The following is a 20,216-nucleotide window of genomic DNA, read 5'->3' on the forward strand; positions in this document are numbered from 1 at the left end:
TATATTTTATGAAGTACTTAAAACCTTAAAAATCATTTTTCTATTCCAAGGATGAAAGTGAAGAAGAGAAAAAGGAAGCCACTGTAACTTAACGTAGTGACTAGTTTGGGTTGCTTTGGTAGCTTGTTTTATACAAATTGCTTTCTCAAGGAGAAAAGAGGATTAAAAATTAAAGCATACAAGGACTTTGGAGAGTTCTAGTTAGAATTTTTAAGAGTTAGTTAGCTCCTTTATTTTTAAGGAAGCAGTATTTCAGAATCCTCCTAGATGGTTTTCTTCATCTTTTATCCTAATGTGGTATATTTTCATGTTGAAAGATTCTATATTTGGTTGGCCTTATTATTCAGTCTTTTTTTTTTAATTTTTGGTATTCTGTCTGCTTTAGGAATTTGAAGTGATTGCCCAGATAAAGCTCTTACAGTCTGCCTGCAACAGCTATTGCATGACCCCAGACCAAAAGTTCATCCAGTGGTTCCAGAGGCAGCAGCTCCTGACAGAGGAGGAGAGGTGGGATCACCTGTCGTTCATCGGGGTAGAACTGAAGTGTTGGCAAGAAAAATGCTGCATTTAATACCTCGCTGGGTCATTTATTCAACAACTATTTAGTGAGCAGCTGCTAGGTTCCAGGTCCTTGGTTTTCAAAGGCGCATGGTGTGGCAGGAAAGGCTGAGTTGATAGCATCAAGATGTACTTTCAGACTCTTGCTTGGCCACTTATTTATCTTTGTAACCTTGAACAAGTCATTTGTTCTTCCCTATCTTAAGGATGCTCATCTGTAGAATGTTTGTGAGGCGTAACTAAGATCTTATGTGGGAATGCTTTGTTAGAATGCTTGTCCTCAGCGTTGTCACCACCACCACTGTCACTGTGTTTGTCATTCCTGTTAATTGATGGTAGCTTTCCAGGAAGCTTTCAACCTAGAGGGGTTGAGAGACTCATGAAACTTTGAAATATGATGGGTAACTACATTCCTACAAAACCTATGGGAAGAATTGGGGAAAATAAGGAAAATATAAAGGCATTAATATTTAGGCTGGCTGTAAAGGAGAAACAAGATTTTGCCATAAGAACCGGAAGAGAACATTCCAGACCGAGAGAGAACACAAGCAAAAGCTTGGTGGCCTGACATGTTTGGCATTTGAAGGAACAGTGATAACTCAGGTGTGGCAGGGACACAAAGAACAGTTTAAAAATAGTGGGATGGGCATAGAAAGGCATGTTCACTTGAGTGCCCTGCCTGCTGGCTCAGCACGTCCCTGTCCTGTAGCCTGCTCGCTTGTTGGCAGATTGGTCTGCAGGCCATATGTGGCCCACTGCCTGTTTTTACATTTTTAAATGATTGGGGTGGGGGGGAACAAAAAAAGAATATTTTGTGACACGAAACAGTTATTTGAAATTCAGATTTCAGTATCTACATAAATATGGTTTTATTGAAACACAGCCCGTTCATTTACATCTCATCTATGGTTGCTTTCATGCTGTAAAGACAGAGTTGAGTAGTTGCAACAGAGACCATATGGCCCACAAAGCCTAAAATACTATGTGATCCTTTACAGAAGAAGTTGGCCCATCCCTACCCTAGCCCAGGGGATTTCTTTGGAAGTTTATCATAAGGGAGAGTGAAATTGACAGCAAAATAAGTATTTACAAAAAAAAAAACTTGAGGTTTAGAGAAATATTTGAATGAATTAATGACAGCATTTGGATTCAAACTCAGGTCTGCCCGGCTCTACAGCCTAAGCTCTGAAGATGGCTGTATAATGTTGGGCACCCTTCCCCACCTACTCAGTAACGAAATACATCTACTGTCTACAGCTACAAGCTTTCATAAAAGGCACTTGGAATCACATATAAATTCCTCTTGTGCTTGTGTCAGTTATATCTGCCTGGCAGATAGAGGTCTGAATCTGGAGCATTTTTAATTTAGGAAGTTTTGGCAATTAAAAATTTAAAAAAGTATTTGTAGGCCACCCTGGCCAACATGGTGAAACCCCATCTCTACTAAAATAAATAAATATATATATATATATCTTTATCAGTAATGTAATTGCCTATGTCTGTTCATTGACGATCAGATAGATTACAAAAGTCTCTTCATTTTCTTTAGATAAAACTAAGTCATTTGTGCATGTGCACAAACACACATACAAAATAGTAGGAAGGAGGTAATAGAGAAGAAATAGGAGGGGGAGGTAGTAGAGGAAGGAAGATTCTTCCACTGGCCTAGCAGTGGGATGAGAATGATCAGAATGGAGTTAGTTTTTGATGCTGCCAAAGTGCATATATCCTTGTATTTGAAACACGCAGAACTAAATAGCCTCAATCCATATGCCAGTGGAGGTGAGGGAGGAAGCACATAAGATAAATGTGTCAAATCGGGCCGTGAAGTCAGTACCCCCTGACGTTTATGATAGGACAACGTTTGTATATATCTTTACTTTGAACAATTAGAGCCTTCTCTAAAACAAAACCAGGACATCATGTGAATTTAAGTGTGTTTTTCAATTCTCTAACTTTGACCTCATGGAGCCCCCTTCTCTTTCTCAGCTATGCCCTGTCATGTGAGATTGAAGCAGCTGCTGACGCCAGCACCACCTCGCCCAAGCCTCGGAAGAGCATGGTGAAGAGACTCAGCCTGTGAGTGTCCCCTGGGGGTTCTGGGGCTCCAAGAGGGTGCCATCAGAGTCGTGAGAGGAGATGTATTCAACAGGATGACCTTGAGCCAGGGTGAAAGTGAAGAGCACTCCGCTCATTTGTTAAGCCGTTTATCCTTCTGTCATGAACTCAAAGCATTTGCTGAGTCCATTCTTCTCCACTCCCCTCTCTGTTGTGAATCACCATTCTCTCCTGCCTGAATCACTCCAGTAACATCTTCACTGTCTTCTGGCTGCCCCTTACCCAACCATTCATTCTCCACTAAATAGCTAGGTTGTCTTTTAAAATGTACACCAGATTATGTTGCTTCCTGTATAAAAACCCCTATAGCTTTTATTTTAAAATAAAACCCAAACTCTGTATCCTGGTTTACTAGGCCTTACATGACTTAACCTGCAGACTTCCCTCTCTTACAACATTGCCCTCTGTTCACCAGTGTTGAAGACGTTTGCACTGGCTGTGCCTGGCCTGAAATGCTCTTTCTTCATGACTGGCTCCTTCAAATATTAGCAAAAATGTTATGTGCCAAGAGAGAACCCTTTCTAATGTTGCTGTCCACCCCTCATTCTCATTCATACTAGCTGCTTCCTCCAGTGGAATGTAAGCAACCTGAGAACAGGAACCTTGTCTATCATGCTCGCAGTTGTATTGCCTGAGGCCAGGAGTTTGAGACCAGCCTGGACAATGTAGTGAGATCCTGTCTCTACAAAAAAATATCACTTAAAATATTAGCTGGGCATGGTGGTGCACGCATGTAGTCCCAGCTACTTGGGAGGCTGAGGTGGGAGGGTTGCCTGAGCCCAGGAGTTCAGTGTTACAGTGAGCTATTTTTGTGCCACTGCACTCTAGCCTGGATGACAGGGCGAGACCCTGTCTCTAAGAACAAAACAAAACAAAACAACAACAACAAATATATATATATATTTATACACACATATATATATACACATACATATATATATGCAGTACCTAGCTCTCAATATGTGCCTGAAAAACCACCATTATTTTTAATGAAATGAATCAGTTAATATCTTTTTGAGGATTTGGGGGGATCAGGATTCTGACTGTCTTTATGGGCATTTGATATTTCCCAGCACTGTCTCTCCACCTACTTCAGTGAGTCACATTGAGACACAGGCAGGGATGGCACATGACCTTGAGTGTTGCCATGTCCCCGGTGTAACATAAAGACCTCTGCTGGATGTGGATAGCAAGGTCTCCCACCATCAGCGGCCACGCAGGCTGCTATCTGCCATCAGGTGATATGGGTGGTATGAGGCATTGTGGGTGGGTTGGAACATGCGCTTTAGTAGAAAGCATCTGGAAGATCATCCTGTGTTTTGCTCACCCTCTCTTTGTTCAGATGACTGTCCTGGCCCTGCGGAACTCTAGATTTATGAGCTTTTGGAGTCAGCTCTTGAGGAGAATTTTTCATAGTATCTTGCTGTCTTTTCATCTTTGCAGATATGGGGGAATGAACTACTGAGATAATCTGAGGGGCCTGACCAAGCCTTGTCAGCTGGTAAGACTGGCATGTGCACAGGGAATCAGCTCCCTGATAGAGGAGTCCAGACATGCAGGGGATCCTGGGTGTCCACTCTGCTCACTGAGGCAGCAGAAGGAATTGGGAGCTTCTGGACCCACTATGGCAGTCAGAGGTTCTTAAGGAAAAAAACAAAAATTCTCAATGCAGGCAGGCCTAATCCTGCGTCCTGCTACCTCTATCCTCCTGCCTTCTCCCCATCCTCATTTCTATGCTACTGCTTCTCTGTACTCCTCTCCAAGCCCGGGATCTATATGTTTTGTGGTGGGAGTTCTAATACCCCTGGATCCTCTGTCTTCACTGACACAGACAAGTGGTCAGTCCTATGAAAACATTTACTGTGAAATCCAGAGAGGGCAGGACTGTGAGGGTGCTATGCCCTTCACAAAGTGTGGTAGGTACTCAGTACATCTCTTACTAGTAAAATCTTGCTGGGATAACCCTTGGTATCTGCAGTTGAGTTTGGGCATCTATTATGAAAGCAGTTCATATGCCCCCATCTTATTTCTTGTACATACAAGGGTGTTTGCATACCATTATTTTTCAAAAGATTTCATGATCTTCTTAGCATGTTTACAAATCTGGGAAATGCATTTTTGCTGTTCCCACATTCAATGGCTCATCATTCCAAAGAGGTTGGAGAAAACTTTGGGTGCTTAGGCCTAGTTTGAAAGTTAGAGATGCCTACTACTGAGCCAGAATGAACCTTCACAACGCAGGACAAAGCAGGACCTTACTGAATTGTAGAAATGGAAGAACCCTAGAGACTCTGAGATAATGGATGGAGGACCACTAGTTGACATCCTTTCAAGATCTACCTTTGTAATTTATGAAGCAGTAAGAAAGGGCATTATTTTTGCTTCTGTGATCAGAGTTTAGCTCATACCCCTATAGTCCCTGTAATGCTCCTGTAATGCTTGAAGGGTCATAAAAGGAAGACAGGGAAAATGGGGCTGGAGATAGCAGGGTAGAGATAAGGCAGAGCAAAAATATGCTTGAGCTCTTGGAATTCAAGCATATAATTCCGAAAATATTTAATAAAAAATCAAGTTCACCTTCATTGTTTCTATTATTGTTGTTATTTTATAGTCAGTACTTGTTTAGGTTCAGCCCACGTGCTAGTTGCCTTGCATGCCGTTCCTTCTTAATCTGACTCCCGCCCTCCTTTTACCACTACTTGTGGTGTAAATCTGTTAACGGTAAACCTTCTCAGTCTTAGTCTGAGAAAGTCTTTATTTTGCCCTCCTTCTTAGAATTATATTAGACGGGTATAGAATTCAATACTGACTGTTACTTTCACTCAGCACTTTGACGATATTATTCAGTGTCTTTTGACTTCCATGGTTACTTTTGAGATGTGTGGTATCTGCTTAATTACTATTCCTCTGTTTTATGTTCCCACTCCTGTTGCTTTTCTTTCTTCTTTCCTTCCTTCCTTCCTTCCTCACTCGCTCTCTTTCTTTCAAAAGAGTTTTGCTCTGTCGCTTAGGCTGGAGTGATCTTGGCTCACTGTAACCTCTGCCTCCTGGGTTCATGCAATTCTTGTGCTTCAGCTTCCCAAGTAGCTGGGATTACAGGCACATGCCACCACACCTGGGTAATTTTTTTGTATTTTGGTAGAGATGGGGCTTCACCACGTTGCCTGGAGTGGTCTTGAACTCCTGAACTCAGGCAGTCAGCCTGCCTCGGCCTCCCAAAGTGCTGGAAGCACTTTGAGAGCCACTGTGCCTGGCCCCCTGTTGATTTTAAGAATTTCTTTTGTCTTTGATATACCAGTTTAAGTGGGAGTTTAGTCTTACCCTATTCAGGACATGGCTCTTGGATGGGAGGATTCCTATGGTTCACCAGTTCTGGAATCCTCTCAGCCACCATCTCTTCTGATATGGGCCTTCTTCCATCCTCTCCATGTCTTCTGGAACTCCTCCTACACATACCTGGGGCTTTCTTACTGCTTTCTCCATATCTTTTCACTGTTCTTTCTATGTCTTTATCTTTTGATGATGATTTTTGAGGATTTTCTTCAGATCTGTCATCTAGTTCATGATTTTTTTCTTCAAGTTATTTAATCCTTCCACTGAGGTTTTAGTTTAAGTCACCACCTTTTTCACTTAGAGGTGAAATGTTTTTCAAATTATCTTCTTCCTTTATTAGGATGTCTTGCTCTGAGCTCCGGTTTTCAATTTCTTCTTTTATGTCTTTAATATTTCCTAACATACTTATTTTGCAGCTTGGCTTATAGTAGACATGCAGATATTTGTTGGATGAATAAGCACATTATTAGTTTTGTTCTGACAGTTCTCAAATTTGAAGTTCTCAGGAGTCTAAGCCTGCTTTTTGTTATGCCTGTTGGCTCTCTCTTTCAGTGGAATATTTCCTTGTGTGTATTTTGTAATTTTGTATCACGAGTTTATCTTTATCAGGGGATTCTCTGAAGCCTGGGCTGAAGGTATATCCCTCCCGCAAGATTTTCTTTTTTTTTAAGAAAAAATCTAGTTTACTAGCGGTGTCACCGGTTGAGAGTTTCTAACCCCATAGACCACATAAATAGCAAATTGGAGTGAGGCACAGACCCAGCTCACACATGACTTCATAGGAGACATTTTTCTTCTTTCCATGCTCAGGCAAGAACAGTCTCCCTGTTGTCTTCCTATGCTAGTAGAAAGATATTTTTCTGGCCTATCTTTTTAGTAAGGGTATAGCCCTTTGTGGGCCCTGGCTGTATATAGTTTTGGTTCTAACTCCTCACCATTCATAAACAGAAACCCTCATCTTTGGGCCCTGGGTGTGCATTAAAACCCATATCACTATTTTGCCAAGATTGGGGCCTCCCACTCCCCCACCAGAGCAGCTGCAGAACTAGCTCGCGTGCTTCTGGTTTTCAGTTCCTTTTTCACTTAAGGCCTGTAGGGATTTCCCTTCCTATCTTGCAAGCTCAACTAAAAAGAGTTTTTAATATTTCTTATCTAGCTGTTTTATAGAGGAAGCATTTAGGATACTGTAGTTCACAGATTGTTGGAAATAGAAGTCTTCCTCCTTGGTTTCTTACCCAAAGCAGTGCCATCCCTTCTTTGCCTGTGAAGATCATTTTATGGTAGGAAGTGATGGGGGTATGCTGATGGTATCTTGATCCTGCCAAGGTGGTCCATAGACTGTTAAAATGTAGAGGACCATTGACCTAGAAAGACTTCAGATTAGTACTGAATAATCTATGTGTTCTTTGAAGTTGGAAATACTCTTTTGGGACAAGATGTTTACTACTATTTGTTAGAAACTTTATAGCGAATGTCCTCCTAAAATAATAATGACAGAACACACAAGACTGAAAAAACATCAAGGGCTTAATCAACACAAAATATTTGCCTAATCATGGATTCCAGATTTGTAACAGCCCAAATGCTTGGCATTCTGTTTTTTTCCAGACTGTTTCTAGGGTCTGACATGATCACCAGTCCCACTCCCACCAAAGAGCAGCCCAAGTCCACTGCCAGCGGGAGCTCTGGTGAAAGCATGGACTCTGTCAGCGTGTCATCCTGCGAGTCGAACCACTCAGAGGCTGAGGAGGGCTCCATTACTCCCATGGACACCCCTGATGAGCCTCAAAAAAAGGTATATACTCAACCCTTCTCATAATTCCTAATGCAGGCACCTACATGCTCTTTGCCACACCACAGCAAGGAATGTCTGTTTTTAAGTGGATCACTCTATAGTATTTTGAAAGTCATGTTTTGAACAGGCATCAAAAGAAGAGTTCAATTTGGGGACATACTACTAATAGAAACAGGTGTAAAAGCACTAAGCAGTTTCGTTTATTCATTTGGCCTTTGAAATATTGTTCTATACCCACCTCTTAAGGCACTGGAGTTATTTAGGGGAAGTAGGACTTCTTAGAAAGAGCAAAAAGTCAGAGATGGAGATGTGTCAGGTTCTTGGTGCCATGTTTTGTCTTAGCCAAGCATTTATCACAATAATGTTGCATTGCATGCCACTCCAAAAGTCAGTGACTTAAAACAACCACTATTTATCTCTCTTATGTATCTGCTGGTTGGCTGATCTAGGTTGGGCTTGACACTAGGCCACAGATTTGGTCCAGGTCTGTTCCACTTGCCTCTCATTATTGTTGGAGTAACGGGCTACCCAGGGCATGCCCTTAGCATGCTAAGACGGACAAGCAAGAGGGCAAGCCCACTCGCAAGCATATGTCAAGCCTTTACTTGAGTCGTATCAACCAACATTCTATTGGCTAAAGTAATCATGTGGCCACATTCCACATAAGTAAATGAAGCAGAGAAATAGGCTCCAGTTTTAGTGGGAGGAACTCTGAAATCACAGTGCAAAGGGCACAGCTGCAGGGGAAGATGAGGGATTGGTAACAAGGATACATTCTCCCATGTTGGAAAAAAGGAAACTGATGAGAGGTGATAAAAGAATTTCCGTCGAGTTTCTATTTTCTGTGACTGCATAAATAAAAATTTAAAAACCAAAATATCTTAATCTTAAGATCTTAATTAAGACCAGTCTTCTTTTTTTTTTTTTTTTTTTTTTTTTTTTGAGATGAAGTCTCACTACTCTGTTGCCCAGGCTGGAATGCAGTGGTACGATCTTGGCTCACTACAACCTCTGTCTTCTGGGTTCAGGGGATTCTCCTGCCTCAGCCTCCCGAGTAGCTGGGATTACAGGCATGTGCCACCATGCCCGCATAATTTTTGTATTTTTAGTAGAGATGGAGTTTCACCATGTTGGCCAGGTTGGTCTCACACCCCTGACCTCAGGTGATCCACCCACTTCGGCCTCCCAAAGTGCTGGGATGAGCCACCGCACCCCACCAATATCAGTGTTAATCTTCTGTACACATCTGCTTCAATCTGTTGGTTGAAGGGTTTGGATCAGAAAGTCAACTATGACATAACTAGAATTTGCACCATTTGGGGAAGGTTTCTGGCTAACCAAGCTTACTCAATAGTGACTTCTGGCTCCTTAGCTTATGGTTAGGTCAGTAAGGTAGAATGTTGGCAATGGTTTCATCCCTTGGTTTATATCTGCTGCTCTTCAAGGGGACATGTGTGTTGCTTCACATGGTGTTAAAACAACAGTGGTAATCCTGGAACCCTCAAGTGACTTTGTCATAATGTAGCCAATCCAGGAAAAGCATCATATTCAGGATTCATCAAACTGAGATGACTAATTTGCTGCTCTAGTTGGATTTCTTAGCTTTCTGCTTTGAAATCCAGGGGATACAATCATTCATGCTCTAAATATTGAAAGAAAGCCTTCGTGGACACCTACGGACTGGCCATGCTCTCAAAAGGCATTTTTCCTCAACCCGGGATGTAGTCATTCTTCGTGACTTGACATACAAATTAGCTTTGTCAAAATCTGGAATGCAGTCTCATCATTCACTTTTTCACAGCCTCTGAGGTTTTATAGGCTCCATTTCTGATGGTAGACATTGTAGGAAAGTAATAACTGAGGTATTGCCCACATTATTGTGGGATTTCTCCCTGTCTCTCCAGGAAGGAGATGGAATCACAGTCACACCTTGTGGCATAGTGGAAATGTACATTGGTCCAAATGGTACCTTTTAAAACTATGCAGAAGCCCAGTGTGCTTTCTCCTGCACATCCCTTGCTTCATCTTTTTTGTCTCATCCCTCATCAGACTGGCTTTTTAAATTCTTGCAGAAGTCATGGCTCTTTATTCTTTGGATGAACCTTTCTCAGAGTCATACATTTCTTAAACATCAGTGATTCACTTGGATGCAAGTAGCTCCTGGACTGCACAATCCCTGCATATTAGCTAGAAAGGCTCGTGATTCTCCTGCTTGGCACATAGCTGGACTGAGCTGACCTCCACACTTCCTTCCTGACCTGAGAGCCTGTGACAGCCGCCTTCTCCAAAAGTCCTCCAGACTGTCATTCTTCCTTTTCCACAGGCTGCACTGTGAGGTTGCTCTTAAGGGTGAAGTGTAATTTATTTGCATTCCTTTCTTCATTCCCCGATCATGATTTCTAAATATTGATTTTTGCACTTGCTCCTCACTTCTTAAATTCTCAATAGGAATTTGGGGGCTCATCAGGCAGTCTGTTTAGAGCTGCTATAACCCAGGCATATTCTAGGCTTTATCTTAACTATAAATGTCACTAGAATCATAGAAAAATCTAACAAAGGAAATAGAGTTTGGATAGAGGAACATGAAGGCGAAAAAATTGAATGAATAATTGGAAAATGCACCCCCTTAACTAATATATCTGCAAAGAAACTTATGCTATTAACTTATCTATCATCAGTTAGTCCTCAAATTGAGCCACTAAGTTGATTCATTTGGGAACATAAGGAAGAAAAAAACCCAAAAACCAAAACAAAAACTAAACCATATTATGATAGAGCCACAATCAGACCCCTACCCATGAGAATTGTCACATCAGCTGGCTGGCTGTAAACTAACTGTGCAATAGAACTGAATGTATAATTATGCCACAGGAGGAAATCTACAGGAAATAAGATAATAGACTCCATTTTAATCAGAAGCCTGATAACCAGAAAGCTCAACTTCTATACTGTTTCCATGGAAAGGCAGATAAATATGAAAGAAATGTTATTTATTTTATAAATGACTTCCAGAATATTTTATAGGATTAACATGGTATAATTTAGCTTAAGTCATTCCGGGAAATTCTTTATAATTTTCTACAATAATAATGGGTATTTTAAATGGTTCAATTTAATGATTTTTAAAAGTACCTCTTCCAATAACTTCTTTCTTTGGTTATTGGTATTGCATGGATGAGAAATGTGTAGTTAATCAGAAAAGCATATTAACTGTAGTACTCCATTTCTTAATTGTCCTTGATACACATCATGAAAATGTATACAGTTGGCTCTACTAGCAAATGTGGAAAGTGGTGAAGCTGCTTAAAGGCTGTATTTCCCTTGAGCAAGTCACTTTTATATTCTGAATCTTATTCTCCTCGTCTTTATAATGCTCTGCATTTTGTTCACAAGACAGTTGTGGAATTAAAATGGGATAAGATAATATGAAAGTTCATGATAAGCCTCACAGTACTAAACATACCGAGGTAGCAGCATACTATGTTGATTCATCTTATTGTCATCAGCCACAGGCTGAGCCTTGGCCATGTGCTTGCTCTGGGAACTCGACAGTGGGAATCAGGGAGCTTGGGTTCCTGTTCTAGGGGTGCTGTCAACTAGCTGTGTGGACCTGGAGCCCCAGTTTTCTCCCTGGGTCTCAGGTTCCTCAGCAGAACAGGTATGGGACTAGTTGATGTCCAAGGCCTTTCTAGCACTAATATTCAATGCAGAGCCGTATAATCTGGGGTACTTCTCTTAGAAACTTCTAAAAATACAGAACTTTCTCTCTCACTACGAAATCTGACTGCAGTAGGACTGAATCAACTGCGTTGGCAAGGCTTTCCTCCAGCCCCGTAAGCTTCTGACTTCTTTGGGAACCCATATTGCCTCCAGTTTCTGGTGTCTGCTGCCACCTGCTGGTTAACTTCTATAAGAACAGCTAAAACCTAGGGAAATAGAACTGCTTTGCCTCACGTGCTTATAGAGTGATTAGGTCACACTGAGTCACCGATAGGCATCTACCACTGATGGGGACTCAGAGTACTTACACCAGGGATGAGACACATGTGTGCTGTGGGCTGTTGTGGAGGAAATAACTGCAGTCTATCAGTCTTGATATCTACCTCTGCTTTGAAAATTGCAAAGCTGTTGGCCAGCGTTCTAATCTGTTTTCTTCTGGGGTGTGTTTACTCTTCCAGCTCTCTGAGTCCTCCTCATCCTGTTCTTCTATCCATTCCATGGACACAAATTCCTCAGGGATGTCTTCCTTAATCAACCCCCTCTCCTCCCCTCCGTCCTGCAACAACAACCCCAAAATCCACAAGCGCTCTGTCTCGGTGACGTCCATTACCTCGACTGTGCTGCCTCCTGTTTACAACCAACAGAATGAAGACACCTGCATAATCCGCATCAGTGTGGAAGACAATAACGGCAACATGTACAAGAGCATCATGGTGAGGAGCAAGCCCTGACCCAGGAGCGGGTTTCCATTTAGATTGTGTGTCTGTGTCTGTCGGCCGCTCAGACTAATAGCCCTAAATATGCACACTCAATATTAGCATATACATATATGCATTCACACAGAAGGGATGTGTGTCAGTTCCAGGTCTCCCTGGGCATAGATGCTGAATGATATATGTATATAAAATATATATACATATATATGCACACACATGGTGTATATAGGATATAATTTTCACATCTTAAAGAAATGCTAAAACTTATTCGTTTAGGTCAGTATTAGCCATTTGAAAATTCTCAATTTGGGTGACAGTGTAAATGTGCTCCAGGGAGGATGACACAACCTCACACATTTTTGGAAGCCTTCCTATGGAATTATATGTCTGGTTTTATCATTGAATTTCCACACATTCTTAGCAGTGTACTCCCCTGATGGCAGATTTTTGTCATTTAGTCATTTGGATCAAACCTAGTTAATAAAGTGGATGATCAAGCTAGAAATACAGTTTGGGTTAATGAGGAACGATGCCTATAAAATGAGACTGACCTTTTTGAGCTTCTTGTAAAATCTGTGTGTTTCTGAGGACAATTGCAAAGATATTTTTAATAATGGCAGTCTTTTGGGAATACACACAGAGCCTCTCATGGCGATAACCTTGGGTATGTGAGGTCTGGTAGGTTTATCACAAGAATATAAACTCCTTAGTTTATGGGAGATAATCATGTATTGGAAATCACTTTATCCTTTGCAGCAAAATCCCACAGCTAATTCCACATCTCTCCTCATCTTTATCACTCGCCTCTTTGAAGGCACACTCAGTGCTTACAAGCTCAGGTCTGAATATGGCATAAGTGGTATGGAGGCTCCACATAAAAGCTTTGCTAAAGCATTTATTGAGTCAACAAAATATCAAACATTTATTGCGTTCTAGTCATTAGATCAGGCTTTGGGGATAGGGAGATGAGTGAGACATTTCTGCCTTTGAGGAACTTTTAATTAGAAAGGGAGCCCACAAAGCATTATTCACAATGTGCAAAATAATAGAGCCAAGATCAGGTGGTAAAGGGCCTTGTGGCCCACACAGAGGAGTGTGTTAATCCCGCAGGCAATAGGGTCTTGTTGAAGGCTTTTAAGTAGTGATGGGATTTGCTCATTAAGAAAGTCATGGCACTGTGTTTGCTGGAGTGTCGGGGTAGACTGGAGGCGGGGAAGCAAGTTAGGAAGCTGCTATCATGTTCCATGTAGGAGAGGATAAGGGCTTGAATGACGGTCATGTGGCTGGAGATGGTGAGGATTTTTGAAAGCTTTTGATGAGGTAGAATTGTAGAATCCATTCATTTAGTTACCAACTTTTTGGTTACTGTTGTGGAGGACTAGAGGCTGTCTGGGTAGTTGGTGGGTCTGTGAGATATGAACTACCAGAGGAGGATATTCAGGGACATTTAAATCAGAGGTACCAGTATGACATCAGATGGCATTGTCTGATAGATGGTCAGAAACATGGGCTGGTGCAAGGCTGGTGCTGAGATCAAATACTGGGAGTTGTCAAACCCCACAGGGGGGACGTGGTCTCGCGAGACTGAGTGTAGGATGAGGCAGAATGCAAGTGGTAATGAGGGAGGGGCTAATAAAGGAGCACCCGAGAGGTAGAGGAAACACAGGGAAGCCAAGGTCCTCCATGTGGTTACTGCCTGCTCAGCATGGTCTGTTCACCTGGCACCTCTTACCTGCACCAATCAGAGAGAATGTCCACTGCATAACTCTACAGTGTCTCTGAATTATAGCATGGATTTGTACACCAAACAGTTATGTTTTGGGACATGCCTGGTCAGCGTGCACTCTGCTCAGTCTGGGGGGAACTGTGAGTGGTTGGACTGCACAAACCTCTACTGCCCAGGAGGAGTCACAGGTTGTGCATGCTGTCTGAGTGTTGGGAGGGTAGTGAGCAGAAGATCCCCTGCCCCCTGCTCTGAGATTCCTCCTTCCCCAGCAAATGGGCTGCCTCTGTGAGAATCACCTCTCCTGCCAACCCCTTCCTGTGGCCCTTTATATTGCACCAGGTGGTGGCACTCACCTTTCATGAAAATCCTGCCAGCGCATGTCACAGGCTTATTCTGGAGAGACGACACACTGCTCTCGTGCTCTCATTCTAATCGTTAGGCCTCTCAGGAGAAACCTTGCTCACAGGACGTACCTTTCTGAAATGTATTATGCTGTGTGCTGTTGACCAGAAGATGGAAATAAATCAGTCCAGGTTCAGGCGAGACTAGCAGTTCTCAAACTTTTTGTTCTCAGGACCCCTTTATACTCTGAAACAGCATTGAATATTCCAAAGAGCTCCAGACTATGTGGGTTGTATCTGTTGATATTTACCACATTAGATATTTAAACTGAGAAACTTTCAAAATGTTGATTAATTCATTTAAAATAACAATAATGAACACATTGCATGTTAATGTAAATTTTATTTTTTAATGAAAAATATCTATTTTTTTCCAAAAATTATTGAGTGAGAAGTGTGGCATTGTTTTCCATTTCTGAAAGTCTGTTAAAATGTGAGTGAGACTGGCTTTGTTTTGTTTTGTTTTTGTTTTTACTGTGAGTACAGGGTACTGAAGAATACAGTGACAGCTAGTAGATTTGTAGTTAGAAACCACTGGACCGATTTGTGCTGTTGTGCCAGCAATTCCATCCACCATAGCTTCTGCAATACCTATGCAAATGTCAACACAAAGAAAAGACAAACAGCATCTTAGTATTATCATGAAAATAATTTTGATCTCATGGATCCCCTCACAGATTTCAGGGACCCCACGGGCCATAGATTGCACACTGAGAACTGGTGGCCTAGAGAACTTGCTTTGCAAGAGCAACTAATGTCCCTGGAATCCAAGGCCCTTCCATAGAAGAAGAGACAGCAATTAGCCCTTGTAAAATTACCTCCTCAGTGACCATGGAAAAATGTCTTCTACCACTGAACCCATCACTCTTTCGAAATGATCTTTCTCTCCATTGTGTCAATCACAGAGTCAGTCTCCCAAGATCCCTTACACAGGGAATGCAGTATTTCTGTCACAGGAAAGTCAATGAGGGCGACACCAAAGCATCGTTCAGTACCGCGCATTCAGTACAGCAGCCACTGGCCACGGGTGGCGATGGAGCATTTGAAATGGGAATACTCCAAATTGAGATGAGCTGAGGGTAAAATATATACCAGATTTTGAACACTTAGTACAAAAAAGTAAAATACTGCATTAACAATTTTTGTATTGATTATATATGCTGATGTAATATTTGGGGTGTTCAAGTTAAATATCACCTTTCAAAAACTTTTTTTTTTTTTGAGGCAGAGTCTTGCACTGTTGCCTGGGCTGGATTGCAATGGCACGATCTCAGCTCACTGCAACCTCTGCCTCCCTGGTTCAAGCGGTTCTCCTGCCTCAGCCTCCTGAGTAGCTGGGATTACAGGCACCCACGACCACGCCTGGCTAACTTTTTTGTATTTTTATTAGAGACGGGGTTTCACCATGTTGGCCAGGATGGTCTCAAGCTCCTGACCTCCTGATCCACCTGCCTCGGCCTCCCAAAGTTGGTGGGATTACAGGCATGAGCCACCTCACCCGTCCTAAAAACTTTTTAATTGTGGCTACTAGAAACTTAAAATGAAATATGTGGCTCACATTCGATACCTATGAGTGCTAATTCAGTCTATCAGCATAAGGATGCACGCTTGAGCTGTGAATACTCATTGTAATCATAAGTTTGATTCAGCATCGCTTTGATGGTACAAAGTAATAAACACGCAAGGGAAAGCCCTTGGTCATCTTGTCTTCATTGGGACATACCTGGGGAAGTTTAAGGAAAGGAGAATGAAGGTAGCCTGGCTGTCTCATATGACTTACCCACCTTAGCCTGACATGCATCCCCTGAAGGGAGGTCTTCTCCTTTAGCTTTCTGCTACTAGTCCAGTGTGACCCAGCTTTGGGAGTATTTTCTTCATACTATCAAAAACATATTTTCCTCATTTAGAATTTTGTGTGCACCTACTTTTCCCTTGTAAATGAATATGCCAGATGTTTTGGTAACAGACACGTGAACAAGATCTTTGCTGCTTACAAGGACCCCTTTGTAATGCACATTGTTTATGGAATCACAAACACCAGCTGCTGCCCCAGATCAGAGTGAGGCATCTTGGCACTGCCATCCTCAGGCACACAATGGCAGTTTCTGGGAGGAAATGAGACTTCTGTATGTGTCGAGGGGGGTCGTGGGGGGCTTTCTTTCTATAGTCCTCTTGCCCCCTGGTGAGAACAGCTTTTATTTTTAAGTAAGAATAATCTGAGTTTTCATTCACTTCTTTCAAACTTAAAGAAATCACCCAAGGTATGGTACATAATTTAGCTTTCTTTTCAGGTTGCTCTGCACACCCTGCAAATAGTTGGCTGGCAGGCAGTGAGGTGAAGGGAAGAACATCAGAATTGGGGACGAGGGAAACCTTTAACTTGTGCTTTTAAAACACTTACAAGCTGATGTTTATTGAAGCATAATTTGCATGTAGTTACATATGCAGATCTTAAATGTTTGATTCTTTGAGTTTTAATAACTATATATATCTATGAAACTACTACCCCAAATCTAGATAAAGAACATTTCCATCCTGCCTGCCAGATTCCCTGTGCCCTTTCCAATCAATCCCCTCCTAACCTAGAGGTTCATTTTCTAATGCCACAGATTTTGTTTTTCCTTTTTTTGAAAGAATAGACTCCACTGGTATGTAATCTTTTGTGTCCGGTTTCTTTTGCCTAAGATGATGTTTGTGAGATTCACCTGCATTGTTGCATGTGCCAGTTCTTAGTTCCCTTCAGTTGCTCAGTAGGATTCTATTATGAATATACTACGATTTATTCTCTTTTCCTGTTGATGGAGATTCAGATTGATTCAGTTTTTAGCTATTGTGAATAAATCTGCTATGAATGTTTGTGTACAAGTCCTTTTGTGGACGTATGTTTTTATTCCGCTTGGTAAATGCCTAGGAGTGGGACTGCTGAATCACAGGGTCACCTGTACTTTTTGAAATGGTCAATGGGCAGAACTGCGACCATTTTTATCCCGTGGGTTGTAACCAGTGCCATAGAAGCAGTTCAACATGGGAGGATAATTTTGGGCCAGGACTAATAATGCTTTGCATTTTTCACAATTCCCTCATATATATTCTTTCACGGGAACTTCAACCACTGTGGAGGAGATAGGCAAGGAAAGCGTTCTCTCCATTTTAATAGCGGATGACGCTGTGACTCAGAGATTAGGTGACTCGCCCATCATCTGTGGCTGCTAAGGGTAGAACCAGGACTAGAAACCAGGGATCCTGGCTCTTGGTCCAGTTCCAATTCCACGAGTCCGTTCTTTCTGGAAAGGCATCACAACACAAGACAGCAAGAATGAGAGGGTCAGGAGAACTCCCTCAGGAAACGTGAAGCTAAGTACTTTACAAACCTGTTCATTGTCTTTGCAGTTGACGAGCCAGGATAAAACCCCCGCTGTGATCCAGAGAGCCATGCTGAAGCACAATCTGGACTCAGACCCCGCCGAGGAGTACGAGCTGGTGCAGGTCATCTCGGAGGACAAAGGTGGGCATCCTTCCGAGACAGGCATGTTCCTTCCCAGGGCAGGTGGCTAGCACATGTCCACAGTGCTCCGCGTTTAGAAGGCAGAAAACGGATACGTATTGTTTTATTGGGACCTAGTGGTGGTTTTTGATAGTGCAAGGGTGAACAACCGTGCCATCACCTCACTTGTGGAATTAAGTATCTCAAACCGCTCTCCGATTCCCCAGCTCTTGTTTTTCCTGCGATTTTGATGAGTATTTCTTCTGCCCAGTCTTTCTGAGCTCTTCAAACACTTTTCTAGGAAGAAGTGTCTCCCTGTGCCAGGAGGCAGAGGGTAGGGGAGTCTGTTGGGCATTGCAGGTGGCCACACACCTCCTTTACCCAAGAATGTGTTTCTAAGTTGTGTGTGAATCTGAAATTTAGTGGTTCCTGTAATAATTTCTCATCATTTCAATTAATCATGTATGAAAGGTATTTTCTTTATTCATGATCAATTTTAAAATAACACAAACCTCTAACTTGAAGGTTATTTACCTCACATTTATTGAGGCAAAGAACTGGTAATCTATGAAAGGCTTCAATATGCCTGGGAACATATTATTTAAAGAAATCTCTTTTATGAAATACTTTTTGGGGGAAATAATCACCCTTGCATGTATCTGTCTGCTAATATGAATTTGGGGATTGTATTTGTTGAGAGAAGGAAACAGGCTGGTAGAAAACTCCTCTGTACCTTGTCACTTCACAGACAGTGACTGTCAGGATAGGTCTCTTCTCCAAGTGCAGAAGGAGCAGCAAATATTGTTGACCGAAGCCAACCCTTTCTGCCGCCAGACCCCAAACTGTCCATTGCAGCCACCTTAAGTAGTCCTCTGCTCACCAACAAGCAGTGTCCCCTATAAGTGAGAAGCATTCCACAAGCTAGGCTATGGGATCAGCATGTCACCCAGGGCTCTATTGCTGGTTTAGAGGAGAGTGGCTGAAATTAGAATACTACCTTCTCCTAGAGATTAAAAGCTACAGCCTCTGGGAAAATTCTTTTTCAGTTTCCTCTTGGAAGATTTCTCATTCATTCAGCTGAGCCTTAGGCTGTGGGGCAACACTTTCTCAGTTATAACCTTTTGATGTAATTATAATTATAATTCTAAGCCTAAAAGATGGTCTCAAGTTGTACCATTTTGCTTACAACACAGCACTAAGGTGAGGCTGGTGGGTCTAAAGGTCCAGGAGTCTCGAGGGGTAGCCAGGACCCAGTGTTGCCCACCAGCTGTGTGGTCCTAAATGCAAGCTGCTGGACCCCCGGGCCTTGGTCCTTAATTAGAGACAATACCCTGCTGGTTCCTCATATATCACAGGGCGATTCTGAAGATAACAAGAAATCGTGTACCTGAACATGGGGAGACACTAAGTGATATATAACTGTGAGGACTATTATTACTGACCTGTGAGTATGTGGGCAGCAGCATGGGACACTTTGAGGGGATTGTTCTCCGCTGAGCCTTTGTGCACAGAATGTACAGGAGTCACTTGGAACCTGCTCATATCAGTCTTGTTGTTGGATATCAATGTTTGAAGTTAACTTAAGACTCAATTTGTCCAGTTTTACAACCATATGCCTCTCTGGTTGCCTCCCCGACCCCACTACCACAGAGCTAGACTTGCACATTTTACCTTTTTTAATTCTGTTTGTTTTTTCAAATACTCATTACACTTGAGTGCTAAATACTGTATACCTTCTTGTGGCGATTACTCAAGGATCTAGAACCAGAAATGCCATTTGACCCAGCAATCCCATTACTGGGTGTATACCCAAAGGATTATAAATCATTCTGCTATAAAGACACATGCACACATATGTTTATTGCAGCACTATTCACAATAGCAAAACCTGGAACCAACGCAAATGCCCATCAATGATAGACTGGATAAAGAAAATGTGGCACATATACACCATGGAATACTATGCAGTGATAAAAAAGGATGAGTTCATGTCCTTTGCAGGGACATGGATGAAGCTGGAAACCATCATTCTCAGCAAACTAACACAGGAACAAAAAACCAAACACTGCATGTTCTCACTCATAAGTGGGAGTTGAACAATGAGAACATGAGAACACATGGACACAGGGAGGGGAATATCACACACCGGGGCCTGTTGGGGGGTGGAAGACTAGGGGAAGGATAGCATTAGGAGAAATACCTAATGTAGATGGCGGGTTGATGGGTGCAGCAAGCCACCGTGGCACATATATACCTGTGTAACAAACCTGCACGTTCTGCACATGTACCCCAGACCTTAAAGTATAGTAAAAATAAAATAAAAATTAAAAAACAAAAATAAAAGTGAGGCTGGGCATGGTGGCTC

General features: G+C 42.2%; 1 protein-coding gene across 13 annotated transcripts in view, besides 4 other annotated features; it reads left to right on the top strand.

The window, feature by feature from the left end:
- The window catches only part of RGL1 (ral guanine nucleotide dissociation stimulator like 1), a 292,424-nt gene that overhangs the window by 268,356 nt on the left and 3,852 nt on the right, over positions 1-20,216 (top strand). For 7 of the 13 annotated variants that reach the window (XM_011509339.4, NM_001297669.3, NM_015149.6 and 4 more), the window contains 5 exons: positions 386-507; positions 2,548-2,637; positions 7,618-7,804; positions 11,983-12,237; positions 17,758-17,872. In XM_011509339.4, the coding sequence (XP_011507641.1) occupies positions 386-507; positions 2,548-2,637; positions 7,618-7,804; positions 11,983-12,237; positions 17,758-17,872 (769 nt within the window). Of the gene's footprint in view, positions 1-385; positions 508-2,547; positions 2,638-7,617; positions 7,805-11,980; positions 12,238-17,757; positions 17,873-20,216 lie in introns of those variants that run through there. The other 6 variants (XM_047415682.1, XM_047415687.1, XM_011509341.2 and 3 more) reach the window with 2 other exon arrangements.
- Positions 7,148-7,237: an enhancer, noted in NCBI's record as "active region_2226". NCBI's record gives its function as "activates an Ori minimal core promoter by ATAC-STARR-seq in GM12878 lymphoblastoid cells {active_cell/tissue: GM12878}" and the evidence as "EXISTENCE:reporter gene assay evidence [ECO:0000049][PMID:35858748]".
- Positions 7,714-7,883: an enhancer, noted in NCBI's record as "active region_2227". NCBI's record gives its function as "activates an Ori minimal core promoter by ATAC-STARR-seq in GM12878 lymphoblastoid cells {active_cell/tissue: GM12878}" and the evidence as "EXISTENCE:reporter gene assay evidence [ECO:0000049][PMID:35858748]".
- Positions 11,581-11,770: an enhancer, noted in NCBI's record as "active region_2228". NCBI's record gives its function as "activates an Ori minimal core promoter by ATAC-STARR-seq in GM12878 lymphoblastoid cells {active_cell/tissue: GM12878}" and the evidence as "EXISTENCE:reporter gene assay evidence [ECO:0000049][PMID:35858748]".
- Positions 14,322-14,511: a silencer, noted in NCBI's record as "fragment chr1:183887920-183888109 (GRCh37/hg19 assembly coordinates)". NCBI's record gives its function as "represses an EF-1alpha promoter that drives an FKBP-Casp9 reporter gene in an ReSE screen in HepG2 liver carcinoma cells {active_cell/tissue: HepG2}" and the evidence as "EXISTENCE:reporter gene assay evidence [ECO:0000049][PMID:32094911]".

This window comes from Homo sapiens, chromosome 1 (assembly GCF_000001405.40).
Source record: "Homo sapiens chromosome 1, GRCh38.p14 Primary Assembly".
Classification (NCBI taxonomy): domain Eukaryota; kingdom Metazoa; phylum Chordata; class Mammalia; order Primates; family Hominidae; genus Homo; species Homo sapiens.